General features: G+C 39.2%; 1 long non-coding RNA gene across 3 annotated transcripts in view, besides 1 other annotated feature; it reads left to right on the forward strand.

Annotated features, from left to right (window-relative positions):
- The first annotated feature begins 8,060 nt into the window (after positions 1 to 8,060).
- The window catches only part of LOC105371646 (uncharacterized), a 28,994-nt gene continuing 9,826 nt past the window's right edge, over positions 8,061 to 27,228 (forward strand). The window contains exons 1-2 of one of the 3 annotated variants that reach the window (XR_922351.2): positions 8,061 to 8,225; positions 17,356 to 17,490. This is a non-coding gene — a long non-coding RNA (uncharacterized LOC105371646). Of the gene's footprint in view, positions 8,226 to 17,355; positions 17,491 to 23,625; positions 23,735 to 27,228 lie in introns of all 3 variants that reach the window. The other 2 variants (XR_007066764.1, XR_922350.2) reach the window with 2 other exon arrangements.
- Positions 17,711 to 17,911: a silencer, noted in NCBI's record as "peak501 fragment used in MPRA reporter construct". NCBI's record gives its function as "represses an SCP1 promoter by STARR-seq MPRAs in K562 erythroleukemia cells {active_cell/tissue: K562}" and the evidence as "EXISTENCE:reporter gene assay evidence [ECO:0000049][PMID:32103011]".

Raw genomic sequence — 27,228 nt, forward strand, 5'->3', positions numbered from 1 at the left:
GATCACGTGCCCATCCTTAACAATCACTGTGACTAGAAAGAGGAATTGGTTGGCCAAACCTGGGTCACTTGCCCACACTAGGCTTGAAGGGGGAGGGGAATAGGAAGAAAAGCCAACTTCATCTGAATTTCTCAGACTAGGCTTGTAATAGAGGGTAGAGAAGCTTGACAATAAATATAGTGTTGCTATAAGAAGAAAATATGTAGTGTAAACATCGAGTTACAATCTGAAAATGTCTTGTTAATATCTGTAGGTCCAGCACCTTGTAAGAAGTAAACTCAGATTTATTAACTTTTGTGGGAGGGTAGAAACTGATGAAAAAAAAGGAAGGCATTCCAAGGGAAATGTGGTCCTGGATAAATTCAAGACATTTAGGCTGTAGCTTCTAGGGACTAAGGAGAGTGTGGGAGTTCCTCTCTTGAGGGTCAGAGATGGGAGCTTAATACTCTCTGAATCCAAGCTGGCCTTGTTGGCATCTGGAAGCTTCTAAACTTCGTTCTTTCTCTCTTGCTCCCTCCCTCCTACTTATTCCCTCCCTCCACATAATCTGTTATCTATGCCATGCATTAGCATCATCCTTCTCTGAAAGCTTCTTGGTTCCTGCTGCTCCATTAAAATGATTTGAATTTTCATGGCCCAAACTATGGCACGGACTAAACATGACCTCCAGTTCCCAACATCTGCTGACCTCAGTTTCTTTGTCTTGGTTCAAATCACAGAAAGAAAATCCTATTAGCTCAGCATGAGTCATGGGACCATTCTGATATACTCACCTGGGGCCAAAAAATTGGTCTGCTCTACCCACCTCCTTGGCGAGGGTTTTAAGGGGCACTGTCCCACTGTTAATACCCCCAAACACACTCAAAATTTGGTTTCACCATGAAAAACAGGGCCAGAAACTAGAAGAATAGTAAGGATTGTATAACATGATACTTTTAGTTACCACTATGATGGCTGCTTGGACAAATAGCTCAGATCAAAAGATTATCCTAAAAAGAAAATTGTTGTTCACCTGAAATATCTGCAGTGTAGCTGCAGGATTCGAGGGCTACCAAAACAAAAGCCAAATGCAAATGTAGTCCCTATATCATCTTTTTTTCCGCATGGCTATAAATTTGCAATAATGTTAAATAACTGTGTTAAATATCTAACATAGGGCATATGTTTCTGAAGGCCGCTAACTGATCAGATAGCACTGTTACCTAAGAAGGTGAATTATTTAAAGAAGTTTTGCTCGCTAATAAAAAGGAATAAAGAGGGAAGTGGGGAGCACCTCTGCCCGGCCACCCATCGTCTGGGAAGTGAGGAGCGCCTCTGCCCGGCCGCCCCCTCTGGGAAATGAGGAGCGCCTCTGCCCAGCCGCCCCGTCTGGGAAGTGAGGAGTGCCTCTGCCTGGCCGCCCATCATCTGGGATGTGAGGAGTGCCTCTGCCCTGCTGCCCATCGTCTGGGAGGTGAGGAGCACCTCTGCCCGGCCGCCCCGTCTGGTAGGTGAGGAGCGCCTCTGCCCAGCTGCCCATCGTCTGGGAGGTGAGGAGCGCCTCTGCCCGGCTGCCCCGTCTGGGAGGTGAGGAGCGCCTCTGCCTGGCCACTGTGCAATCTTCCAAGTGTGAAGTGACAGCCTTTCTGCAGGTGTACCCAACAGCACCGAAGAGACAGCAACCATCGAGAACGGGCCATGATGACGATGGCTGTTTTCTCGAAAAGAAAAGGGGGAAATGTGGGGAAAAGAAAGAGAGATCAGATTGTTACTGTGTCTGTGTAGAAAGAAGTAGACATAGGAGACTCCATTTTGTTCTGTACTAAGAAAAATTCTTCTGCCTTGGGATGCTGTTAATCTATAACCTTACCCCCAACCCCGTGCTCTCTGAAACATGTGCTGTGTCAACTCAGGGTTAAATGGATTAAGGGTGGTGCAAGGTATGCTTTGTTAAACAGATGCTTGAAGGCAGCATGCTCGTTAAGAGTCATCACCACTCCCTAATCTCAAGTACCCAGGGACACAATCACTGCGGAAGGCTGCAGGGACCTCTGCCTAGGAAAACCAGAGACCTTTGTTCATGTGTTTATCTGCTGAACTTCTCTCCACTATTATCCTATGACCCTGCCACATCCCCCTCTCCAAGAAACACCCAAGAATGATCAATAAATACTAAAAAATAAATAAATAAATAAATAAAAAGGAATAAAGAGAAAAAGAGAGAAAGAGAAAGGAAGAAGGAAGGCAGTGAAAAATGCATACTGTACTTTCCAGCCAATTACTTACTAAACATCTCCAGAATTATTCCACTTTTCTTGATCTTTCTGCCACTCCCCAGCTTCTCCTTCTTAAATTACTAAAGAATTCAGGCTGGACTTTTTGCAGTAAACTTTTCCTCCTCTCAGCCACTCTGTATACTCCAGCCAAAGGGATTACTATGGTTTAAGTGTGTCCCCCAAAGTTCATGTGTTGGAAACTTAATCCCCAATGCAACAGTGTTGAGAGGTGGGACCTTTAACAGGTTATTAGGTTGTGAGGGATTTGTCCTCATGAATGGATCAATGTCATTATTGCAAGAGTGGGTTTGTTCTAAACGTGAGTTTGGTCCCCTCTTGCTTTCTCTTGTGCTTTCTTGCCCTTTCATCCTGGAATGACACAGCAAGAAGGCCCTCTCCAGATGCTGGCCCCTCAGTCTTGGATTTTCCAGCCTCCAGAACTGTAAGAAATAAATTTCTATTCATTATAAATTACCCAGTCCCAGATTATTCTGTCACAGTAGCACAAAACAACCTAAGACAGGGATGTTTTCTAAATTATAAATCAGATCAGATCACTGTTTGACTTTAAATCATTCAATGGCTACTCAGTACCCTCAGAATAAAATGCAAATTCTTAAAAATCTTACAAGTCCCTCATGATCTGGCTCCTCATTGCCTCTCAACCTCACCTTACTCCCTTTACTCTAACCACACACTGAACTCCTTTTAGTCATCAAATGTGGCATGCTCTATCCTAGCTGGTAAATACTGTTTTCTTATCCTCATCCGTTTTAACTAACTCTGTCTCAACCCAGAATTTACTTAATTTACTTCCTGAGCCTTCTGTGGGCCCCCTGGGTCTGTGTTAGCGCCTCTTCTCATATGTCCTTTTTTTTTTTTTTTTTTTGTATTAAAGCACTTATCACAGTGTCCTGTATTGTGATTACTTTTTTATTTGTTTACACCCTCCACCAACATTTATTCAGACCCTGCCATGTGCCAGGCAGTATGCTTAGCACTTTACACACATTGTTTCATTTAATTTTCACTATATCTCAATGATGTAGGTTCTTTGATTACCTGTATCTTACAGACAAGGTGATAGACTTAGAGAAGTTAAATTGTGTTCAAGCTAATATGTGGTGAAGGCAGGCTTTGAACTTGGGTAGTCAGCCAGGCACTCCTAATGCCCTACTCTCCTAAACCCTTCATGAGAGCAGGAACCACTTCTGTCTTGTTTACTATTACATCCCCAGAGTCTGTCACAGTCTGACACATAGTAAGCGTTCACAAAATATTTCTTTAATAAATGTGGAATGATTTTTGCTTATGGCTGGATCCACTCTTTATGCATATTTTACAATTTCTACTCTGAGTTAGATGTCTTAAAAACTAGAAAAAAACGGCCAGATGTGGTGGCTCACACCTCTAATTCTAGCACTTTGGAAGGCCAAGGTAGGTGGATCACTTGAGGCCAGGAGTTTGAGACCAGCCTAGGCAACATGGCGAAGCCCTGTCTCTACTAAAAATACAAAAATTAGATGACCATGGTGGTGCACGCCTATATTTACAGTTACTGGGGAGGCTGAGGCACAAGAATCACTTGAATCTGGGAGGGGGAGGTAGCAGTGAGCTGAGATGAGATTGCACCACTGCACTCCAGTCTGAGCAACAGACTGAGACTTTGTCTCAAAAAAAAAAACCTTAGAAAAAAGGACGGCCAAAAATAAATCTCAACAGGTATTCATAAAGCCTGCAACTGTAAGATCTGTGCACCCTGTTCCTTCTCCCCTCAAGCTCTATTTTAGACCATAGCTGAGTTGTTCATTCTTTGTAAAGATTAGAATTCCTCCCTTCAGTGGGTTATTGTTAGCTGGAAGTAAGCATCCATTCTCAAAGCCCCCTATGTATGCTTTTGAATTTTAGGAGCCAGAAAGTTAGAAACTACATTTTTCAGATTCTCTTGCAGCTAGATTTCTGGATACTAATTAGACTCTACAACAGAGATGCCCTCATGTGAGATTTAGCAGGTTAAAGTAGGGTGAAAGTCATTTTCTTATTGCTGCTGCTGCTAAGCAGCACTGTAAATTGTATTTGAAGCCAGAACCCATCTTTCAGTAGTCACCAAAGTCATGAGCATTGACAGACAGTTTTGGCAGCTGACCTGTAGGCTACAGCCATTGTGGTGTACCCCTGAAATACAGAGTGCACTGGTGGTCCCTAACTTCAGTTTCTTTAGCGCTTCTAATGAATTTTATAAGCACTTAATTCCTTGTTTTTATAACTCCTTTCTTCTGGAAATACATAATGCTGTTTCTGTTTCCTGAATTGAAACCTGACTGACACATCCCCTTAATTGCTGTATCTAGCTGACCCCTTTTTGTGTAAGCAAGAGCAAATCATATGTAAATGCAGTTATTTTGGAAATGTAAATGTAGTTATTTTGGAAATGTAAATGTGTGATGAATAAAAAATTAATTGACAGGAATTAGAATAATGAATGAAAGAATTACAGGGGGTTTGTGTGTGTGTCTGTGTGTTTCACAAGTTGAGGAAGGGAGATGTTGAAAAAGGTGAATCAACTGGAATGACAGAAGAAAATGAGTAGAGAACCCTCAGGTTCTACAAGGGAATAGCAGAGCAGATTTGGAATTGATAATGAGTCATTATTAAGAACTTAGTCTAATAACTGTTTACATGTGTGGAGCTATTTAGAGCTCCCAACGTTTCCTCATATGCTATTTTATTTGATCTTAACAATGAGTGATTCTGTGAGCTAAGAGTTTGCAGGCCCTTTTGTGCATTTTGCACATGAGGAAAGAAAGTGAGGCCCAGAAAGCTCAAGGATGCAGCTGTAAGTGGCTGGGTCAGAATGTTGATTCCAAGTTTCAGTATCCTACTCCAAGCAGTTAGCTATAGAAATTACTTTTGGTTTAAGGATGAGGGACAACTGAGGAATTCAGACTGCCAAAGATGATAAGCATGCTATTTTGAATCTGAACACAAAGACTGTAGGGCCCAATCAGAAAGAGGCTTTCCTTTCTCAAGACTAGGAAATGCCTTTCCTTGTTTTTTTTTTTCAGTGACTGGTCCCTGAGAGGTAGAACCTGAATGAGCTGGCAGTGGAGCTGAGAAGCTAAATGGGTCCAGTCTCTACGTTGGGTAGTTAAAATTTGGCATTTTGTAAATAGTCTTCTCTTGATGTTCCCATATTTTCAATCTTGCACTTAAGAATTTGGCTGGGCCAGGTGCAGTGGCTCACACCTGTAATCCTAGCACTTCGGGAGGCTGAGGCGGGTGGATCACCTGAGATTGGGAGTTCGAGACCAGCCTGACCAACATGGAGAGTCCCGTCTCTACTAAAAATGCAAAATTAGCTGGACGTGGTGGTGCATGCCTGTAATCCCAGCTGCTCGGGAGGCTAAGGCAGGAGAATCTCTTGAACCCGGGAGGCGGAGATTGTGGTTAGCTGAGATTGCACCATTGCACTCCAACCTGGGAAACAAGAGTGAAACTCCATCTCAAAAGAAAAAGAAAAAAACAGTGTTTGGCTGAATTCTTATTGGCTTATCACAGAGAACGGCTCTGGGGCAAAAGGAAAGGCTAGTTGTGGTTCCAAGGTCACATTAGTCTAAACAGAAGGGCACCCTTTGGGTGCTTTGAGTTGTGACTTATGGTGCGTGAGACGTCTTCTTTGCAGAGCGGCCCTGGGGTTTGGGTTCTGCCAGTCACAAGGGTCCCTCGCAGCTCTTACACTTCTTTTCATCTTAGTCAATCCTACTTTAAGATGTGAACAGGCAATGGGCCTTGCTTGGGGAAAAGAGTGAGCTGTCCCTACTGGTGCAGTGTCATATAGAAACAGCTGCTCAAAAGTGGTGTGAGAAAGGGAGGATGAATGAGCAGTCATTCATCTAGTTTCAGGAAACTAGAAGGTGTTGGCTCTAGTATTTATTTCCTCTGCCTGGATGGCACTTCAGGATAAGGTGAAAGGAAGAGTGTCCTCTGCCCCTTGGGTGACTGGCACAATGATAAACACAGATTCATCTGGCCCTGACCTGGGAATTGTGAAGAAGAAAACACTTTCTTAGGGAGACTGTACAAGGAGGACTTCCCCCACTTTTGTCAGGTCTGGTGGCATTTGCCCTGGACTGGTCCCTGTCTCAGGGAATACAGGCCACAGTCGCCCTAGGGTTAGCTGGGCATGGAGCGGCCCTGGAAGAAAAGAAGATATGAAAAGAGGAAGGAATGAGCTCACCTTGCCTGCAACTGTCTCTCAGGGGAGAGAGTTTAAGGAGACTCAAAGAAGAGGAGGAGAGTCCAGGAACTGAGAGCTGCCGTATATGTACAGGTGTGTGTAGAAATTCTAAAAGTTACTGGTAGATGCACTCTCAAAAAAGAGGTGCAGAGGGCAACATAGCACATTAGACATCCGTAAAAATACACCCACAGTCTTAAGACTAATGGGTGGTCATACAGCTATTTGAGCTGAAGGTGAAAAGACCCATTTAGAGATTCCAAGCCTTGGAAACTCTGAGATTGCATTTTGTAAATTGGGTGGGGAGGGTATATTATCTGACTCATCTTTATGGCTGTTTGTGATTCATGTTGTTCTTTTAAACTGCCCTGTGCACACATCTACCAGCCTGCACGGGCCAGATGGTCATACATTTTTCTCCTGTCCTCACTCTGGATGGGAGCTCTTCTTACTCTCCACATCAGTACAGGAAAGGTATTTGCAAGAGCAGGAAGTAAAGGAAACTGGCAGGAGACTATTAAAAGTCTTTCTGACTTTAGGCCGGGTGCAGTGGCTCACACCTGTAATCCCAGGACTTTGGGAGGCCAAGGCAGGTGAATCACTTAAGGTCAGGAGTTCGAGACTAGCCTGCCCAACATAGTGAAACCTTGTCTCACTAAAAATACAAAAATGAGCCAGGTATGGTGGCACATGCCTGTAATCCCAGCTACTCCAGAGGCTGAGGCACAAGAATCATTTGAACTCGGGAGGCAGAGGTTTCAGTGAGCCAAGATCACGTCACTGAACTCCAGCCTGGGTGATAGAGTAAAACTCTGTCTCAAAAAAAAAAGTCCTTGTGACTTTTGTTTTTTGAGATGGAGTTTTGCTCTTGTTGCCCAGGTTGAGGTGCAATGGCATGACCTCAGCTCACTTCAACTTCCACCTCCTGACAATTCTCCTGCCTCAGCCTCCCAAGTACCTGGGATTACAGGCGCCCACCACCATGCCAGCTAATTTTTTGTATTTTTAGTAGAGATGGGGTTTCACCATGTTGGCCAGGCTGGTCTCAAACTCCTGACCTCAGGTGATCCACCCACCTTGGCCTCCCAAAGTGCTGGGGTTACAGATGTGAACCACTTTGCTCAGCCTTGGCTTTTTACTCTAAACCTGGATTTGTCTTGTAGGGGCTTAGAAGCTAGCAGGGATTATTATCATCATTTTCCCATTGAGAAAATAGGCAGTGGAGTCAAATAATTTGCCTATAATCAGTCAGCTATTACACCTGGCAGAGCCAGGATTTGAACCAGGTCTGCCTGAGTCCCTGCTGCCTTTTTGAAAGAAGACTTATGGATCGGGGTACACAACTGCCTCTCCACTGCAGCACTGTAATGTAAGTGAGAGTATCCAGCTGCTATCTTTGATCTCTCTTGACCCTCACTCATGATAACAAGCCTGGATGAGGACAGAAAGAGCTGCTGCACTACCCCACTTTGCAGCCTAGTGACATGTCCAGCAGGCTAAGGACACCAGCTTATCTGAAAGTGACTGCCAGCCAGAGTCCCACCAGTTGGAATTCCAGTCGTGTGTGGGGTGGGTAGGGCAGCACTCACTGCCTGTGATCATCAGTGTCCTTGTTCTGCTCCCTCCTCTCACCCACCCCACCCCTGCCAAGGCCTCCCTAGCCCTTCAACTGTGAGGCTTTGGGAGGTCTCAGGCTCAGCATATCTCTTTCAAAGAAGACTTCCTGACAGAAGGTAAGTGCAGGCCAGTTGCAATGAAAATGCTTTAAAATCTTCCTTTAGGCCCTAAAGAGTATAAGCTGAAGTGGTTTCCAAGATGATTTGAGCAAATTCATCACCTACAGAAGGTGTCATTAATACATAGTAGAGAGTTTATTTCTTCATATCAATGGCACTGAAAGGGTATTCGGAAGTAATCAAACTTTGAATAATCAGGAATGATGAGTCTTTTGCTTTCTTAGCCTCTCTGCAAAAAGTGCAGAAGCCATATGTGGATTAAAATTAAATATGCTACCAAAAAGGAGGCAATTTCACAATGCAATGTGTAAGTAACTCCCTTAGTGGTTAACTTGGACACACTGTTCTCTCTATTCTCTTGCCATTCTGCTATTTAGCAAACGCAGGACACTGAAAGAAAAGAAAGTATTTTTCATATGAAAATGACCCATATCAGATTTAATTTATCAATCTTGGAAATGGGGTTCAGAGTGGGAAGAATGAAGCTCACTCATACCTTTTCCTAAAAGCTCCATTAACAAAAAAGGCAAGTTTGAGCAAGATAGGGTTTTTCTGAACATAAAGCGGGATTTAGAGTGTTTGTTTCTTTGGTGTGTGTGTGTGATGTGTGTGTGTATGTGTGTGTGACGAGGGAGTTGTCTTAACAGGAACTTTTGTTATGAGAAATGTGCATATTATTGAAAATAATACAAGTAAGAAAAACTAAAGTAGAGAAGTATATCATATATTAGTCAAACTTCATATATGTAAATCTATATTTAGGGAGTGATTATTTAATTTTTTGTTTGAGAGAAAGATTCACATATAGAATTTCTCTACATACCAAGATCCTGATTGGACATCCATGCTTCAAGATTTAGGAAAATTTAATTTACACTCGCATTTTTAGGCTCGCAAAGCTTTTGAGTAAAAAAAAAAATGTACCAGAAATAAGATGGAGTGAATAAAAATACATTTTTAACAGAAAGAGTCTTTCTGTATAAACAAAGAAAAGCCAAGTTATGGATACAGTAAGAAGCCAATGTTGGGTTAATTTATCTAGGTTACCTTTAGTTGCTGCCTTGATTAACTTTTTGCCACCCCCGTCCCCCCTCCCTCCCCGCCACACAAATGACACATATCTTAAACAGGGTTGCAGAGGGGGAGTTCAGAAAAAAAAAATGCTTAAGAAGATTGATAGATACTTTTGTATACAAATAATGAAATTATCCCAGGTGATTAGTGTTTATTCATTAAAGCGTCCATCATTAAAGATTAGTTCTTGGCCTTCCCTATTTAGCCCAGTCCTTACCAATAAGCTGCAGTTTAAAGTGGTAAATATGCATGTTGCTAAAATTATTCCATAATTTAAAAAATCTCAAATGAACAAATTTATCTTGTTTCCAATTAGTCTAAATAAATTAGATATTAGTATAGAGATTACAAAGTTATTTAAGAAAGAAATTCCAGAATCAAAAAGAAGAGCGGTTGAGGTGCTTTTTTTCTAACTAAACTTGAGGGTTGCGTTTGAGACAGAAAGTGGAAAAGAGACTTTTTTTTTCTGAGTATTGTGGACACTGTTGGTTGCCAACTCTTCTTCCTTTTTAGGCTATCATTCCCAGCTCTCTTTAAAGCCAGTGTAACTATGTGACCCAGTTCTGGCCAATGATATATGAGGGGAAGTCTGCTGGGGTGGGAGGAGGAGTTTACTTCTGGGAATGACTTTTATTCCTGATCAAAACAGATGAGGGTTCAATGCAACTGTATGAAGATGTAATCTTGGAGCTGCAGCAGCAATTTTATTACCATGAGATAAACTTTGAAGACTCTGAGGGTGTCAGCATGGAGAAAATAATTGATCTTTAATGGCATTGTGGAGCCACTTCCCAACCCCAGAACCATCTATCGCCAGATATAGTGTTAATTGCTTAAGCCACTATTTGTCATGTGTTCTGTGACTTGCAGCTATATGTATCCTGGTGGATACAACAGACCTAGCAAAGGAAAGGATATATATATATTTTTTGGTCAACATCTCACTCTGTTTCCCAGGCTGGAGTACAGTGGTACAATCACAGATCACTACAGCCTTGAACTACTGGGCCCAGGTGATCATCCTGCATCAGCCTCTGGAGTAGCTGGGACTACAGGCACATGCCTCCACACCCAGCTACTTAAAAAAAAATTTTTTTTTGTGGGAGCTAAATGATGAGATCTTATGAACACAAAGAAGGAAACAACGGACACTGGGGTTTACTTGAGGGAGAGAGTGGGAGGAGGAAGAGAAGCAGAAAAGATAACTATTGGATACTGAGCTTAATACCTGGGTGATGTACCTATAAAAATATGTACAACAAACCTCTGTGACACCTGTTTATCTATGTTACAAACCTTCACATGTACCTCCAAACCTAAAATAAAAATTAAATTATTATTATTATTTTTTTTTAAGAGACAGGGGTCTCACTATGTTGTCTGGGCTGGTCGGTAACTCCTGGCCTTAAGTAATCCTCCCACCTTGGCCTCCCAAATCCCTGAGGTTGCATGAGCCACCACACCTGACCCAGAAAGCATTATTCAACCAGAGCCACCATTAGTCCATTTGGTGCTTCTATGTAACTTGGAAACTAGGTGCTTCGACACCTCCAGGTGTCGAGTCCCACCTACCCACTTTGCCAAGCACCCTTGTGCCATCACAGGTAACTGCATTGCTTCCTTACAAGTTTATGGAAGGTCTGCCTCTGCTCAAAGGACTCAGGTTGAGGCTGCCAATTCCAAAAGAGGAGGAGAGGGCAATGTGAGTTTCTTTTGCTTTCTGTCACATTGCAAGTGCATATATTGCATTGCTTATATATACTCTTGCAAAGTGAAAATATGCACTTGTAATGTGAAATGGACGTTATAGTGCAGATTATTTAATTATCTCATTCTTCTTCTCTGTTTGATCTACCAGCAGCACTTCATTTGTACACCTAGCATGACATCATTTAGCCTTCACTTGATGCATATAAGAAATTTACATATTAGGTTGGCCACAATGCATTAGCTGGTACTATGTCATTTTCATCATGTTTAACCAAAATTTCACGTTATTAAATAAAGTATTTTTATAAAAAAGTCTAATTAACATAAACACTATAAAAAACTAGTTTTGTCTGTGAAACTGGTAAAATTAATCCACAGGAGCACAGCGATACATGTAGGATAATAATGACTTTAAATTTAAGACATGCAAAGTTAACAGAAGTCTGACATAACATGCTTTCCCACTCATTAAATATTATATGCTGTTACTATGGGTATTCACTGATATACACTAAACTGGAAACAAACATGGTGACTAACACTGCATGACAAGATCCAGAATAATCTTATATTAGATGATCATAAAATATAAACATATACTTTAAAATTCTCCTTGAACTTTTAGATCCATTTGAAAACTTTAACATAATGTATTTAAAACATCTCAGCTAATACTATACTTTCAAGGATCATTTCTATAATTAATTGAAACATCTAGGTTGACAGCCTGAATAGACAAAGTAATAATCATAACTAGACCAGATATGACATAGATGTTAGAACTAGACAGGGAATATTATAATTATGATATTAATACTACTATATTAATATAATATATAAAGATCAAAGGAATAGAATACATAGCCCATAAATAAATGCACTCATATACAGTCAATTGATTTTTTTTGGTTGTTGAGACGGAGTCTGGCTCTGTCACCCAGGCTGGAGTGCAGTGGCGCAATCTCTGCTCACTGCAAGCTCTGCCTCCCAGGTTCACGCCATTCTCCTGCCTCAGCCTCCCGATTAGCTGGGAATACAGGCACCCGCCACCACACCTGGCTAATTTTTTTTTATTGTTTTATTTTTAGTAGAGATGGGGTTTCACCATGTTAGCCAGGATGGTCTTGATCTCCTGACCTCGTGATCCACCCACCTCGGCCTTCCAAAGTGCTGGGATTACAGGAGTGAGCCACCGCGCCCAGCCATCAGTTGATTTTTGACAAGATTCAAATTCAATTCAACAGAGAAAATACAGTGTTTTCAACAAATGGTACTGGAATAATTTGACATTGAAAGGAAGAGAAAGAAAAGAAAGGAAGGAAGGAAGGAAGGAAGGAAGGAAGGAAGGAAGGAAGGAAGGGGAAGGGGAAAGGGAAGGGAAAGGAAAAGGGAAAGGGAAGAAAAAGGAAAGGGAAGGAAAAAAGAAAAGGAAAAGAAAGAGGAAGGACCTTACACCTATGCAAAAACGAACTCAAAATGGATCATACACCTCAATGTAAAATGTAGAAATAAAAAACTTCTAGAAGAAAAACAGCATTTTGTATGATCTTGGGTTTGGTGATGAGTTTTTAGATATGAGACCAAAAGCACAATCCATAAAAGGAAAAATATGAAAACGGGACCCAACAAAATTAAAAACTTTGGCTTTTCCACCAAACATGCCCTCCCCCCCCCCCACACACAAAAATGCTGTTAGTAGAATAAAAATACAAGCTACAGAAAAAGTTCCAAATCTTATATCAATAAAGGACTTACAACCAAAATACAAAGAACTCATAACAAGAAAAACAAATAAAGCAATTTAATAATAAATTAAAGACAAAAAGAGATCTGAACAGATACTTTTCCAAAGAAGATACACAAGTGGCAAATAAGCATATGAAAAGATGCTCACAATAGTCATTGGAGAAACGCAAATGAAAACTGCAATAAGATACCTCAACATACCTATTAGAATGGCAACTTTTTAAAAAATGATAATTCAAAATGCTGGTTAAGACATGGTGCAACAAGCACTCTTGTTCATTCCTTGTGGTAATGCAAAATGGCAGAATGAGTTTGTCAGTTTCTTACAAAGTTAAACATACACTTATCATGTGGCCCAACAATACCACTCCTAGGTAATTATCAAAGTGAATTGAAAACTTGCATTTATAGAAACCTATAAATGAATATCTATAGCAGCTTTGTTCATAATTACCAAAAACTAGAAGTAACTGAGATATCCTCAAGAGGTAAGCAGATTAACATATTGTGGTATATCATGCAATGGAATACTACTCAGCAATAAAAAGAAATTAACTATTGATTCACACAACAACATAGATGAATCTTAAATAAATTTTTGCTAAGTGAAAGAAGCCAGACCTAAAAGATCACAACCTATTTTATTTTATTAACATGACATTCTGCAAAAGGCAAAGCTCTAGAGACAGATAACACAGATCAGTGGTTGCCATGTGTTGAGAAGAGGTTGACTGCGAAGGGATCACACAAGACAATTTTTAGGGTAATAGAACAGTTTTGCAAGATACTGTGGTGGTAGATTCATGACTCTATGCATTTGTCCACATTCACAAAAGGTACATTTATTCTAACTAAGGTATAATGTATTATAAACCTAAGTGAAATTTACTGTGTACATTTTTTTAAAAAATCAACCACGATGTGGGGAGATTCCAGGATGAAATGCAGACTGACAAATCTGTGTTACAATTATATGACATAACCTGACTAAAACGGTTGGGGAAAAAGGAGCTGACCTAAGTAACTTTGGAAATGTGTTTTAACTGGATACTGTAAAGCTAAAGCAAAATCAACTGTGCATAAATGCTTTTCTTTAATTGGTCATTATGTTTCAGGCAGGAGTATAAGTTAGCAGTTCTGAAACTACTTTACATGTATACTAAGGCTGAACAAATAAGTAAATAAATTGTAGTTAATGGAAGCCAGCTTTCTCACTGTCAGAGAAAAAAGTTACAAACAAGCAAGCAGAGAAGACTGAAATAAATCCTGTGGTTCTAAATAAAGTTGGCAATGACAATATGAATTCAATGTGTGTGTGTGTGTGTGTGTGTGTGTGTGTGTGTGTGTGTCCCATTTGAGACTCAGAGTTTAGGGTTTTTCTTGGGGGCTAGTGCTAAAAGGCATTCTCTGCCTGGAAACTGTCAAAATATCAGACTCTCTGAAGGAAGTGGTAATTCAGTGCCTCAAGGGCAAAACAGCCTTATCAATACAGGAGACTTTTCATGTTGGTTTGGGGAACTTTTCACAAGCCAGGTTCCCAGATGTCAGGAAAGAGTCAATCTTTAAGCAGCCTCTTCTAAGGATATCAGCCTTGGGTTTGCTTCTTTGTTGATTCTTTCCTGTATAGGGCATAACAAACAAGACACAGGAGCCAACCTGAAACCACCCCCAATAACCCAAAATTGGATTACAATCCAAACAAACTATATATATATATAGATAGATAGATAGATAGATAGATAAAATGTAATTTCATTCCATACAATAGTATGGAATGAGTACAAATAAGTAAATGAATAAACAAATAAATTAGGGGAAGAAGAGCAAACCTTCCTTAGAGAAGAATTCTAAATTATAAGTGTAGAAGGAATGAGGGACATTTAAAATCACCACTAGAGCACCTTAGTAATAACTGCTGCAGGTAAGATCCACTAAAATTTGTAGGTAAAACCTTAAGGAGAAGCAGCATATTTGTGTAGCCTCAAAGTATCTCATCAAAAAAATATTTATTAATTATTGTGGTAGCTTAAACATATGTCCACGAATTATTTGATAAACCTTCGTCTAGAAGGTGAAGCCTGATTCACTTCACAGGATTGGATAGTTGAGCTGGTAGGTGTAGGGCCTGCACAGTCAAATCAGGGGCATGTGTAGCTCACTTACTTTGAGTGTAGATTGGACTTACTGATTGTTTCGAATGAATAGAGAATGGAAAGGGAAAATGGTAACTTTACGGTGAAGAAACCTGGCAGGCACTACCTTAACCAAGTGATCACAGTTAACGTCATCAGTAAACAAGTTATATTGATCATGTACCCTCAATATGATGTGATGAGAGGACCACTCTACCTCCATGATATTGTTTTCCAAAAATCCATAATTCAGTCCAATCATGAGAAAACTTCAGAGAAAGCCCCATTCAGGGATATTCTATGAAATACTTGATGAGTGGTCTTCAAAATTGTCAAGGTCATGATAAAACAAGGCTGAGGAACAGATTGAGGGAGACTTAGACATGATGATTAAATGTGACACGGTCTCCTGCATTAGATCTCAGAACCAAAAAGGAAACATTGGTGAAATCTGAATGAAGTCTGCAGTTTAATTAACAGTATGGCACCAATAATTTCACAATTTCAATCACTGTACTGTGGTTATATAACATTAGCAGAAACTAGATGAAGGATGTCCATGAACTTTCTGCACTATATTTGCAACTTTTCTGTAAATCTGAGCTTATTTCAAAATAAATGTTTTTAAAAAGTACTTGCATTGGCACATACTAGCTAGTATCTCATGTTAGCTTCTCTTGGTTAATTCACTTGATAACGCAAGAGAATGATAGTGCTGGGAAATCTCTCTTGTTGCCTCTACTCCAAATAAAAAGTGTTTTTCTAAGGATAAGTGATTGTAGTGGCATTTATAATTGCTTTAGTCCATTCAGGCTGCTATAACAAAGTACCATAAACTTGGTGGCTTATAAGCAGCAGCAATTTTTCAAAGTTCTGGAGGCTGGGAAGTCCAAGATGAAGGCACCAGCAGATTCAATATCTGGTAAGGATCTGGTTCACAGGCACTTTCTCAGTGTGTCCTCACTTGATGAAGGGGGTGAGAGGTTTCTCTTCAGTCCCTTTTATAAGGGCACTAATCCCATTCATGAAGATCATGACCTAATCACTTCCCCAAAGGCCCCACTGTTACTGAGCAAAAGGGCTCACTACCCAAGGCACTAGACCCAAGGCACTAGAAGCCAATACTATGGCACCAGGTTTTTGAGAAAAGCTTTTATTGTGAGTCAGTCAACAAGGAGAGAAGAGTCCAGATCAAATCTGTCTCCCTGTGCTGGCTTTAAGGCAGTCATTTTATTAGAAAGGGTTTATGGGGTAGATTCTGGGATTAGTAGGTGATTGGTGGAAAGAAAGGGGAGGTCTGGAAAGTCCTCAGGCATGCACAATTATCTCTTCATGCTACCTCATGAATCACATTTGCAAATTTGGGGAACTTAGTAGGAAACATGGTGGAAATGAAAATTTTATCCTGCAAAGACTCCAGTTGACCATGCTGGTTCCAATCAATTTCAGCCTTTTTTTTTTTTTTCTTTTTTTAAATATCACAAGCAGAGGGAGTTTCAGCATTTCGGCAAGTTGTTTCTTTTCTTATCTGCTCTCATACAAGCTCAAGAATTTCTGTTATTCACTGGCTTCTTTAACTCTGTGGCACAATTTCACCTCCTAACAGTACCATCATCTTAAGAGTTAGGATTTCAATATATGAATTAGATAGGGACACAAATATTCAGACCATAACAATAAGCGTGGGAAATTTCTTTGCCCTTTAAATGAACAATATCATGATGAGAAGATACCAGGCTGACCCTTTTAAAAGTTAGTGCTTCTAACCAATGTCAGTTCTGAGTAGCTGAGGACACCGTGGTTTCATTGTCCTGTTAGTGGAGAGTGGTTTTCAGAGTGTCATCATGGCTGGAGAACCAGGTCTGGACACACGATCACTCAGGGGCAAGGTGAGTGAGCTACACATGCCCCTGATTTGACTGTGCAGGCCCTACACCTACCAGCTCAACTATCCAATCCTGTGTTTTGAGGCTGTTTGGAGGTATATGATCCAGGATGCCTGAATCAAACCAACACTAAAACCAGAAATACCTAAAAATGAGGCATTGTAAAAATGATGGCAAATATTGTTTCGGTCTATTTCAGCCTCGTTTCTGTTTTTTTTGTTTTTGTTTTTGTTTTTAATGCTTACCACTGGCCCTAAGCATTCTAGGTGCTAGTTACTTCAACAGTGGTCAAGTGAGAGGCTGGGGAAGGGTGGAGCGGCAACTTTGGAATATGGACTTGTAAAGCTGTTTTGTATTGTTACCTGTGCTTCATCCTATATTAAAATGTTTTTTTCTTTCATTGGAAAAGAGCTTTGTAGTTTTACCTTGGCTAAGCTCTTTCTTACTCAGCGGCTTTTGCAAAGCTACAGTGAAGTCATTTTTGCTTATTATTTGTGCTTCTACCTACTTCCAAAAAGAATCTAAGATGACTTATTCCCCAAACAATTGTGCTAACCTTAGGCCTTCATTCTCTTCCAGACCATCTGTTCCTCTTTACCATGAAGTCATAGTACTATATTTGTGACAGCACAATCATTTCCATGGCAACAGGATGTGGTCCTCATCACTGAATCCTGATTTCACTCTGACAAAGATCAAGCAGCAGGGGATTGGGTAGTATATTCCGACATTTTCTATTCTTTTTCAAGTTTAGCATCTCTCTGAAGAAATTCCTACTTTTGATTCTAAAATTTTATACTCAGCCTAGAAATATGTTTTTGCAGAGTTTACATACGAAGTATTTGCCCAGCAAATAATTAAACATGCAAGCCAAAAATAATTTTGTGTGATTTGAGAAAATTCACATAAATCTATACATACACACACTATGATATGTAAACTTGCTTGAAAGTGAGATGATTAGCAAATGCCATTCTGGTTTGTATAAAAGAAAAAAGAACAGCAAATCCATTTAAAAGACGAGAAACTTCTAAGCCTAAGAAATTTGCTTTGATGACTGTGATAAGCAGTGGAAGGGACCTGACCTAGTTCTTACTCAATGCTTTCCTTATCTTCTTCAGCACAAATAAGACACAAAAGGGCCTTCCCATGTGAGCTCAGACTATCTGACCAGGGAAAGATAGTTGGATAGCTTTATTAATATGAATGACCAATATTCCTATAATTCTGTCCATTTGCTTTGATTGCACACAGTTTAATTACACAGTCTTTGGAGAAATTCCTTAGAAAACTATTGCTATACTATGCAATTGAGTTAAAAGTATAAACTTTAAAAAGGGAAGTAGTTACTACAGCATCAGAAAAAAAAATACCTAATTGGTCCATTAATTTAGCAGCTTTACAGGACAGATGGCAAAGACTGTTATAATGAGGCTCTGCTAGACATATTACATAACATAATATATATCATATATATTGTATATAGCATGTTACATATGTGTAATGTCATATGTATTATATAAGATATATGTGTCAGAGAAAAAGAGTAACTTGTAAGACTTGATCATGTTCCCTTCTTCTGTTCTCCTCCAGCTTCCTTGTTGAGTCTAAGGGGTAAGTCGGGGAAAGAAATAGGGAGAAAAGTTGGTAAGGGACAGAAAGAAGAACTGAAGGAGAAGCTAAAGCAATTTACATTAAAAAGAAAAAAAAAGATAAGAATTACCTGCAGTGGAAAAGATCTGGAAGGAAGGGGAAAGGGACAGAGAAAGTAGGGAGGTGAGAGGTGAAGAGAGTGATTGAAATCTGAGCAGGAGCATTTGGACAGCAGCTGCTCTGCAGCGTGGGGCTTTGGGGAAATAGGAAAGAAGGATTTTGACTAAGTTCCATTGTTTGCGATGGGATGTGATTCATCACTTTGCTACTTCTTCAAGAGCCTTCAGTGAAAATAAATTATTTTTCAAAGCTCATTAAAGGTGGATTTGTGATTCTTTTGAATGAGACAAAATATTCGGATGGACTCTAAGGCTACAGAAAGCCTTATTCTGATTTTACAAATATATATGTAAGCAGCCTCTCTTGAGGAAAATAATAAGTGGTGCTATCATTGACTGCTATCTCTGACCCTCGGAGATTATGTTGACCAGAGCTGTCCCAGTCCCAAATAATGCAATATTTGCAGTAGGTACTGTCCAGAGATGGGTGGCCTTCCATGGTCTGGAGTTTCTAACTCTAACGAAACTTAATTTTAGCCTTAAAGGATTTAGGAACTTAGAAGAATCAAATGTGGAAGGGTAGAAAAAGACACAATGATTGCTTCAGAGAGCCCTAGTGCCAAGCCAGTTTTTGAGGCCTACAAGAAGGCAAAGGATAATTACAGAGAGCATCATGATACCTAAAGGACAGGCTTCACTGACAATTGTAGTATTAAGGCCTGCTTCAATCTCACATTGGTCTGAGTCTTATTACAGACTGTAGTTTCTTCAAAAAATGCAGAGCCTTTACTCACGCATAGGAGTATGGTAATAAGTGGGAAGGAAGTCCTTCTGTGAAGGTCATCATCACTTTTGATCTCATCATTATTTTCCTAGTGTGAACATCATAATAGAGGTTATGTAATGATTCAGGGGAGGGCAAGGTAAGACAAGGTGAAAATGATCATCAGGATAGAAATGGGAGGCCAGGGCAAGAGTAGGAAGGCTCAGCGATTCCCAAGTGTCCCACCTAACATTAGTGCATGAGATGCACGGTGATAAAAAAGAGTTCTGTGAGAAGACAATTTTGGGCACAGTGTATAATTGTTTTTCCCTTGGAAAAATACCCACTTGCATGCTATAGGCTCTGAGAAGTTCCAACAAGAAAAAAATTTCTGCTTAAACTACTGTTGCCCAAAATTATTTGATCATAAAACACATTTTAGCAACAACTATTAACATTCCAAGAGACTGGTATTATTCAGAACATACATTGGCTAATATTGGGGCAGATGATGTATCTAAAATCACCTCATAACAGGTTATATTACTGTGATAGCTTTAAAAAATACTGAAGGGCACTGGCCTACTGTCAACCTGTATTCAATTACTGTGACTTTTGGCCTTCCTATAATTTTGGTGTAGGACTTCACCCTACTATACAATCATGGCTTGCTTCATAAAAACTGGGTAGGGTTTGTATGTAACACTCTACAAAGCTTCATCCCTTCCTTCAGTGCTCCCAAATGCTCATTACCTTCATGATGCCTGTTACTACCCAGAAACTCTCATTTGGTAAATCTCCAGGACGTAAACTTTTCTCTGCAGGACTGCATGCATCAGTGTCTTTAAACTCCCTCCCACCAAACCAATCTTATTTTTCAAGAAACAGCTTTCTGCTAGGGAACCAACAAAAATATCCATCCTAATGTCTCCAGGTTAGCCAGGTTACATATTTGCAGCCTGACAGGGACTTCCTGAAAATGTAATGCCTTTATCCTAAAATAAAAATAAAAGAAGTTCCATGGGTAGGGATTTCCAGAACTGGGACAAGTTAACAAAAGGAAATGTTTTGAGTTAGATGGGCCTTTAATGATCCACAGATAATATCCCTTGAGAAGTTGCCTGTTCTCTTTAAAAGAAGGGGACTCAGTCAGCAGGGTGATGCTCTCTTTGAAGGAACCACGCTTGACTGTGTGATATATTTCTTTTAAAAAATACAAGAATCACTGGCACAGAGTCTCATAAGTGTGTGTAGGGGAGGTATCTACATTTAATTAATAAATAGTGTCTCTGCTTGGGTGTGGACTTTAAACTTTTTTTTGTTTATTTTTGAATAGGTAACACACTCATGTATACAAAATCAAAAGGCATATCGTGAAAAGTGAGTTTCTCTTTTTTCTCAGTGATTCTGTTTTCCTCCGCAGAGGCAACCACTATTACCAATTTCTTAAATTTCCTTCCATGGACATTCTATATATAAAAATGTATATATGTATTTTTAAACATATATAATTTTTCTTTTTTTACACAGATGGTAGCGTAATATACATACTACTCTCTATTTTACTTTATCTTTTCATTTATCAAGATATCTTAGCTACCTCTCCATATGGAGAGCTAGTGACGTGGCTATTTTAACAGCTGAGTGTTGTTCACTGAATGCCTGTGCCATTTTGTTTTGCCATTCTATTGAGGGATATATATGTTGTTGCCAATCTTTTGTATTATTAACAATATTGCATTGAACAGACTCACTGGATAAATACCTAGACATGGAATATGTGTCAATATGTATGTGCATTTTTACTTTTGAAAGATATTTCCAACTTTCTCTCCATCCCTTACACATCCATCAACTATTTATGACTGACTACTTCCTCAAACTTTCATCAAAACAATATCTTATCAAATGTTTTAATCTTTTACAGTTTGATAGGTGAAAATTATATGTGTGTGTGTGTGTGTGTGTGTGTGTGTGTGTGTGTTTATAATGCAGGAACCAAAGAGAGAAGTTGCAACTCAGGTAAGTAGAGTGGTGCTGAATTAAAATAATAAGTTTACCTTAGATAAAAAGTAATTTGAGATTTAAGTAGGTTACTTCAAAAAATTAAAGACGGCCAGGCACGGTGGCTCACGCCTGTAATCCCAGCACTTTGGGAGGCCCAGGCAGGTGGATTACAAGGTCAGCAGATCGAGACCATCCTGGCTAACACAGTGAAACCCCATCTCTACTAAAAATATAAAAAAATTAGCCAGGCGTGATGGCAGGCACCTGTAGTCCAAGCTACTCGGGAGGCTGAGGCCGGAGAATGGTGTGAACCCGGGAGGCGGAGCTTGCAGTGAGCCGAGATCGCGCCACTTCACTCCAGCCCAGGCGACAGAGCGAGACTCCGTCTCAACAACAACAACAACAAATTAAAGACACTTTCTACCAAGAAGGATTACACATACATAATTCTGACGGACACTTTTAGAAAAGGAGGAAAACCCATAATCTCCTGAGAGTTTTCTAGCTTCACAATTCTGTGATTTCTGTAATTCCATGGAATAAGAAAGTACTGAACAGTGAGAAGAATACTTTCATTACCGATCCATCCATGATCACAGTTTAGAAAATAAAGGGAAAACGTTTCTTTTGTAAATCACTAAATATAAATCAGGAGAAAAGAGGGAGACTACAGTTGTCTCCACTTCTGATTTACCTCAGCCTGCTAGTCTGGTGGCCACATCCAGGACCTTAAAATCAGCTGGAGCCATTCAACCTCCCAAATTTCAGATTCATGCCTCTTACCATTTGATCACAGCTTCTGGCCTTCCATCCACCTCATTTCATTATTGTCACCACATTTGTTCTCTCAATTGACTAGGCCTTTCCCCTTTCCTCTTTCTCCACCCAAGACTACCCACTTTTCTCCCCAGTGAGAAATTTAACTATATCACTATCCATCTTTGCTTCCTTCTTTCCTAACATAAACATGCACTATAAACTTAGATGTTTATGAAATACTTAATTTTTCTGTGAATAAATTCAACTTCAATTGCAAGCCTCCATCTTAACATATAATCTTGGCAAATTCTCTGCCTTTCTCTGGATTGTATCTACATTTTCAGAGTTTGGGGATTGTATTATGCAGTAGGGGGTGGACGGGGTTTCAGGGACCCCTGCCACACATACTGCAGCCACCTTCTCCTTGCACTGGCAGTCTGCAGATCACCATCATCAACCATCTGACTGTCAGAGCATGCTGGATGCTGCCAGGCTGTCAACTCCTTCAGGCCCTCAAGTGCACAGGAAGTCATTCCTCTGCTGCACTGCTGCATGAGGTTGGCTTGGGCCCATGCTCCTAGACATCACTCACATCACTCAGTCTTTCTTTGTCCTTTCATGAAAACAAACAAAATATTTCAAAGTATGAACAATAATATAAACCATCCACGTACTTATCACCCCAAATGAACTAATGTTACTGTCTTTTCATATTTCCATCAAAGTATTTTTTAAAGAAATAAAGATAAAGGTCAAGTCTCCCATATGTCCTTCCTAGCACAATTCCTTTACTTTCTTTACCCCCAGAGGTAATCACTATCATGAATTTGGTGCAAATCTGCTAGTCCATGTTGATATGCTTTTGTTTGACATAACTGTAGAAAAACACAATATCTTGTATTGTTTTTTAAAAGTATATGCACACAGTATCATATGGATATAATATGCTGCAACTTAATGTTGCAGTCAAAATATATCCATATATTGATATAAAGTCAGTCATTTTAATTTCTGTACTGTCTATCACAGAATGAATACATAACAGTTTCTTCCCATTCATTCATTCTTGGGTTGTTTCTAGTGTTTTGTTGATACAAACAAATATTGCAACAACTATCCCTTCCTATCCTTTTTCACTGTATAGTAGTCTCTCTCACAGTAAATGACATCACCAGGCACTGGGCCTAGGTGCTCCGCCAAAAACTTCAGTCATCCTTGAACCCCTTTCCTCACATCTCAAATCCCCATCAAGTTGTCTGTTTTGGCTTCAAAATATATTCTGGATCCAACCACTTCTCAACACTTTCAACCAATCCAAGTGACCAACATCACTTTCCTATGATTGCAATTGTTTTCTAATAATACTACACCCTACAGTCTCTTCTACACAGAACAGCCAGAGTGGCCTTTTAAGAATGCACTTTCGATCAATAGTATCTGACATGGTTTGGTCGTGTTCCCACCCAAATCTCATCTTGAATTATAACTCCCACAATTCCCATGTGTTGTGGAAGGAACTCGGTGGGAGGTGATTGGATGATGGGGGCGGGTCTTTCTTCCACTGTTCTCGTGATAGTGAATGAGTCTTACGAGATCTTATGGTTTTAGAAAACGGGAATTTCCCTGCACAAGCTCAGTCTTCTCTTGTCTGCTGCCATGTGAGATGTGACTTTCATTTTCTGCCATGACTGTGAGGCCTCCCCAGCCACGTGGAAGTGTAAGTCCAATAAACCTTTCTTTTGTAAATTGCCCAGTCTCAGGTATGTCTTTATCAGCAGTGTAAAAACGGACTAATACGGTATGCCTGCGCAAAACCCTCCAATGGCTTCTCGTTCCGCCAAAAAGTCCAAACTCCTTACCTTGGCCTGAAGGCCTTATGTGATGTAGCCTTTGCCTATCTTCCAGATTCATCTCTTGCCACTTTCCAGTCACTAACTCCACTCCACCTCATGGGCCTTCTTCCTTTCTTCCAGTGTTTCAAGCACATTTCTGCCATTCCTTCTTGCCTGAAGTGCACTTTCCTTAGAACATAAACACAGATCTTGTTCCCTCACTTCTCTAAGTTTCCTCAAATTCACCTCAGGGAGGCCCTCCCTGTCCATCTTACCTAAAATAGTACTTCCAGCCCCTATCCCTTTACCCTGCCTGACGTGATATATGTGTTTATTCATAAGTTTGTCTCAACTTCATGAGAACAGTCTTGTTCATCATTTTATTCCCATAGCCTCGTATAATGCTGGTTTATATAGGAACTTGATAAATATTTATTCAATAAATACATGAATAAATGTTTCCTTATATGTGTTTTCAACCTTTTTTTCTAAATTATAGACGTTTCTGGATCATTAGAATGTTTGCATTTTCAACTAGGCAACGTATTTCCAAATTGCTCTCCTAAGTAGTTGTATCAATTTACATCTCAACAGAAAGTAAGATTTTTTTCATTTCCCTGTATCCTTGCCAACACATGACATTGCCAGACTTAGAGTCACCAATCTCATGGATGTTTTGATTTGTATTTATCTGATTACTAGAGTGAGGTTGAGCATATTTTTTTTTACTTCATTTTCTATTAGATTATCTTTCTCTTATTTACAAAAGTAATATATGTTTTCTGAATACTAATCTTTTGTTTAATATATGTTACAATTATCTTCTCCCAGACTGTGGCATTCCTTTTAATTTTGTTTATGGGATATTTTATCAAACAGAGGTACTAAATTTGGAGTGTTCAAATTTATTAGGTTTTTCCTTCATAATTTGTGCTTTTGATGTTACATTTAAGTAATCCTTCCTTCCCCTGTGATCATGAAGTGTGTTCTCCTATAATTTCTTCTAATAGTTATGAAGTTTTTACTTTGTTCCAGGTTTAGATCTTTTCCATCTGGAATTCAGTTTATACCAGAGGCTCCCAAACTGTAGTGGGGGGATACCTGTAGAGTCCCCAAGACCCTTTCAGGAGCCCTAGAAAGTCAAAACTATTTTCATAATCATACTAAAATGTTATTTGTCTTTTTTGCTCTCATTCTTTCATGAACAGTGGAGTCTTCCAGAGGCTACACAACATATAATGATGTCATCACTCTGATGCCTAATAGAATGTGTGCTTATCTGTTAATGTGTTTTACAGATTTCTCAGTTTTAATTTCTAATATGATATTGACAGATATAACCCACATAAACAAAAGCTCTATGGGACCTTCAGTAATTTTTAAGAGTATAGGCTGAGCGCAGTGGCTCATGCCTGTAATCCCAGCACTTTGGGAGGCTGAGTTGGGTGGATCACCTGAGGTCAGGAGTTCGAGACCAGCCTGACCAACATGGAGAAACCCCATCTCTACTAAAAATACAAAATTAGCCAGGTGTGGTGGCGCATGACTGCAATCCCAGCTTCTCAGAAGGCTGAGGCAGGAGAGTCACTTGAACCCAGGAGGCAGAGGTTGCAGTGAGCTGAGATCACTCCATTGCACTCCAGCCTGGGCAACAGAGCGAAACTCTGTCTCAAAAAAAGAGTATAAAGAAGTCCTGAGACCCAAAAGCTTGAGAATTGCTGGTATAAGGTATAAGAAAGGGATCTAATATTTTTTTCTTTTTTTTAGTATAGAAAGTCAGTATTCCCCAAACCCACTAGGTTTATAATGTTTCCTCTATCATATGTCAAGGTCTCATATTTACATGTGTCTACCTCAGAGCTTTTCTTCATATTACAACCACTGTACTATTTAATTACTACAGTTCTACAAGGAACCTTCCTTTCTGGAAAGGCAAATTACACTTTCTTAATTTTTTTAGAATTGTCTTGGCTCTTCTTAAAACTATTCTTTCTATAAGTAACTTTAGAATCAGCTTGTCAAGTTCCACAAAAAAATGTTGTTAAGAATTTGATTGAAATTGCACTGAATTGTGGAGAATCATACTTCTTATAGCATTGATTTTCTGTTCTGTGAATTTAGTATTACATATTACATATTTTTTATTACAATCTCTTTTTTGCCCTTTGCTATTTATAACATTTTTCATAAAGGTTTTGCACACTTGTGTTAGATTTGTTCCTAAGTATCTTATTATTTCTGTTGCAAGTATAAATGTGATCTTTTCCTCTCATTACATAGGTGTATGGATTTCCTATTACTTAGGTATATAGGATTGCTATTGATTTTTCACATCGATCATGCATTTAACCATACTCAACACTTAGTCATTCTAATTTTTTTTCCTATAGAGCCTCTTGGAGTTTCTGGCTAAGAAATGATGCTGTGCACACATATTTTTATTCTTCTTTGCTAATCACTGAATACCTCTTTTTCTCTTTTCATAAATACAGGGACTAGAACTTGTAGTATGATGTTTAATTATAGAGGTTTCAGCAGGCTTGCTATATTCTTGACTCTATAGGAATCCTTCTATAGTCTCATAATTAAATACGTTATAGATGCTTCATATATACCCTCATGAAGTTAATATTTCTAGTTAATTAAGACATTTTGTTTTAAATTATAGTTCTTAAATTTTTAATGCTTTGTTTGTATCCATTGAGATGAGCATATGGGTCTTCACCTTAATCTGGTAATAAGGTAGATTACAGATAGATTTTAAAATCATAATACCATCTTTACATTTGGGGCAAATTTTAGTTGTACCTGATGTATTATTTTGTATACTTTGTTGGATTTGATTTCATAATTATTTTATTTAGGATTTTCGTGTCAATGTTAAAAAGTGAGATTCATCTGTAATTTTCTTTGTCTATAGAGTTGTCCTATTTTGGTATCAAGATTATATTAACTTTGTAAAAGAAACCGGGTAGCCTTTACTCTTCTTGTCTAAAATAGTTTGTGCGAGTTAGTATAGTCTGTTCCATGAAATTTGATAAAATTCACCTGTAAAACCATCTGGCCTGGCTTCTTTGGCAAGGGATGGAAGGATGACTGGGAGGAGACTATTGGGAGACTTTTGACTATTGATCTATTATCTTTATGATGCTTGATTTATTCAGATTTTATATTTCTTCTAGAGTTAACTCTTAAATTTATATTTTTCTGGTAAGTTGTGGATTTCACCTCAGTTTTCAATTTACTGACATAAGATCACACAATATTACAAAATTTCTGGCATAACCAGTATTTTTAATTTCTACTCTACTATATATATATCTATATTCTTCTTTGAATTCCTCATATTGCTTATTTATGCTATCTTCTTTTCAATGTG

The sequence above is a fragment of the Homo sapiens genome, chromosome 1 (genome assembly GCF_000001405.40).
Source record: "Homo sapiens chromosome 1, GRCh38.p14 Primary Assembly".
Classification (NCBI taxonomy): domain Eukaryota; kingdom Metazoa; phylum Chordata; class Mammalia; order Primates; family Hominidae; genus Homo; species Homo sapiens.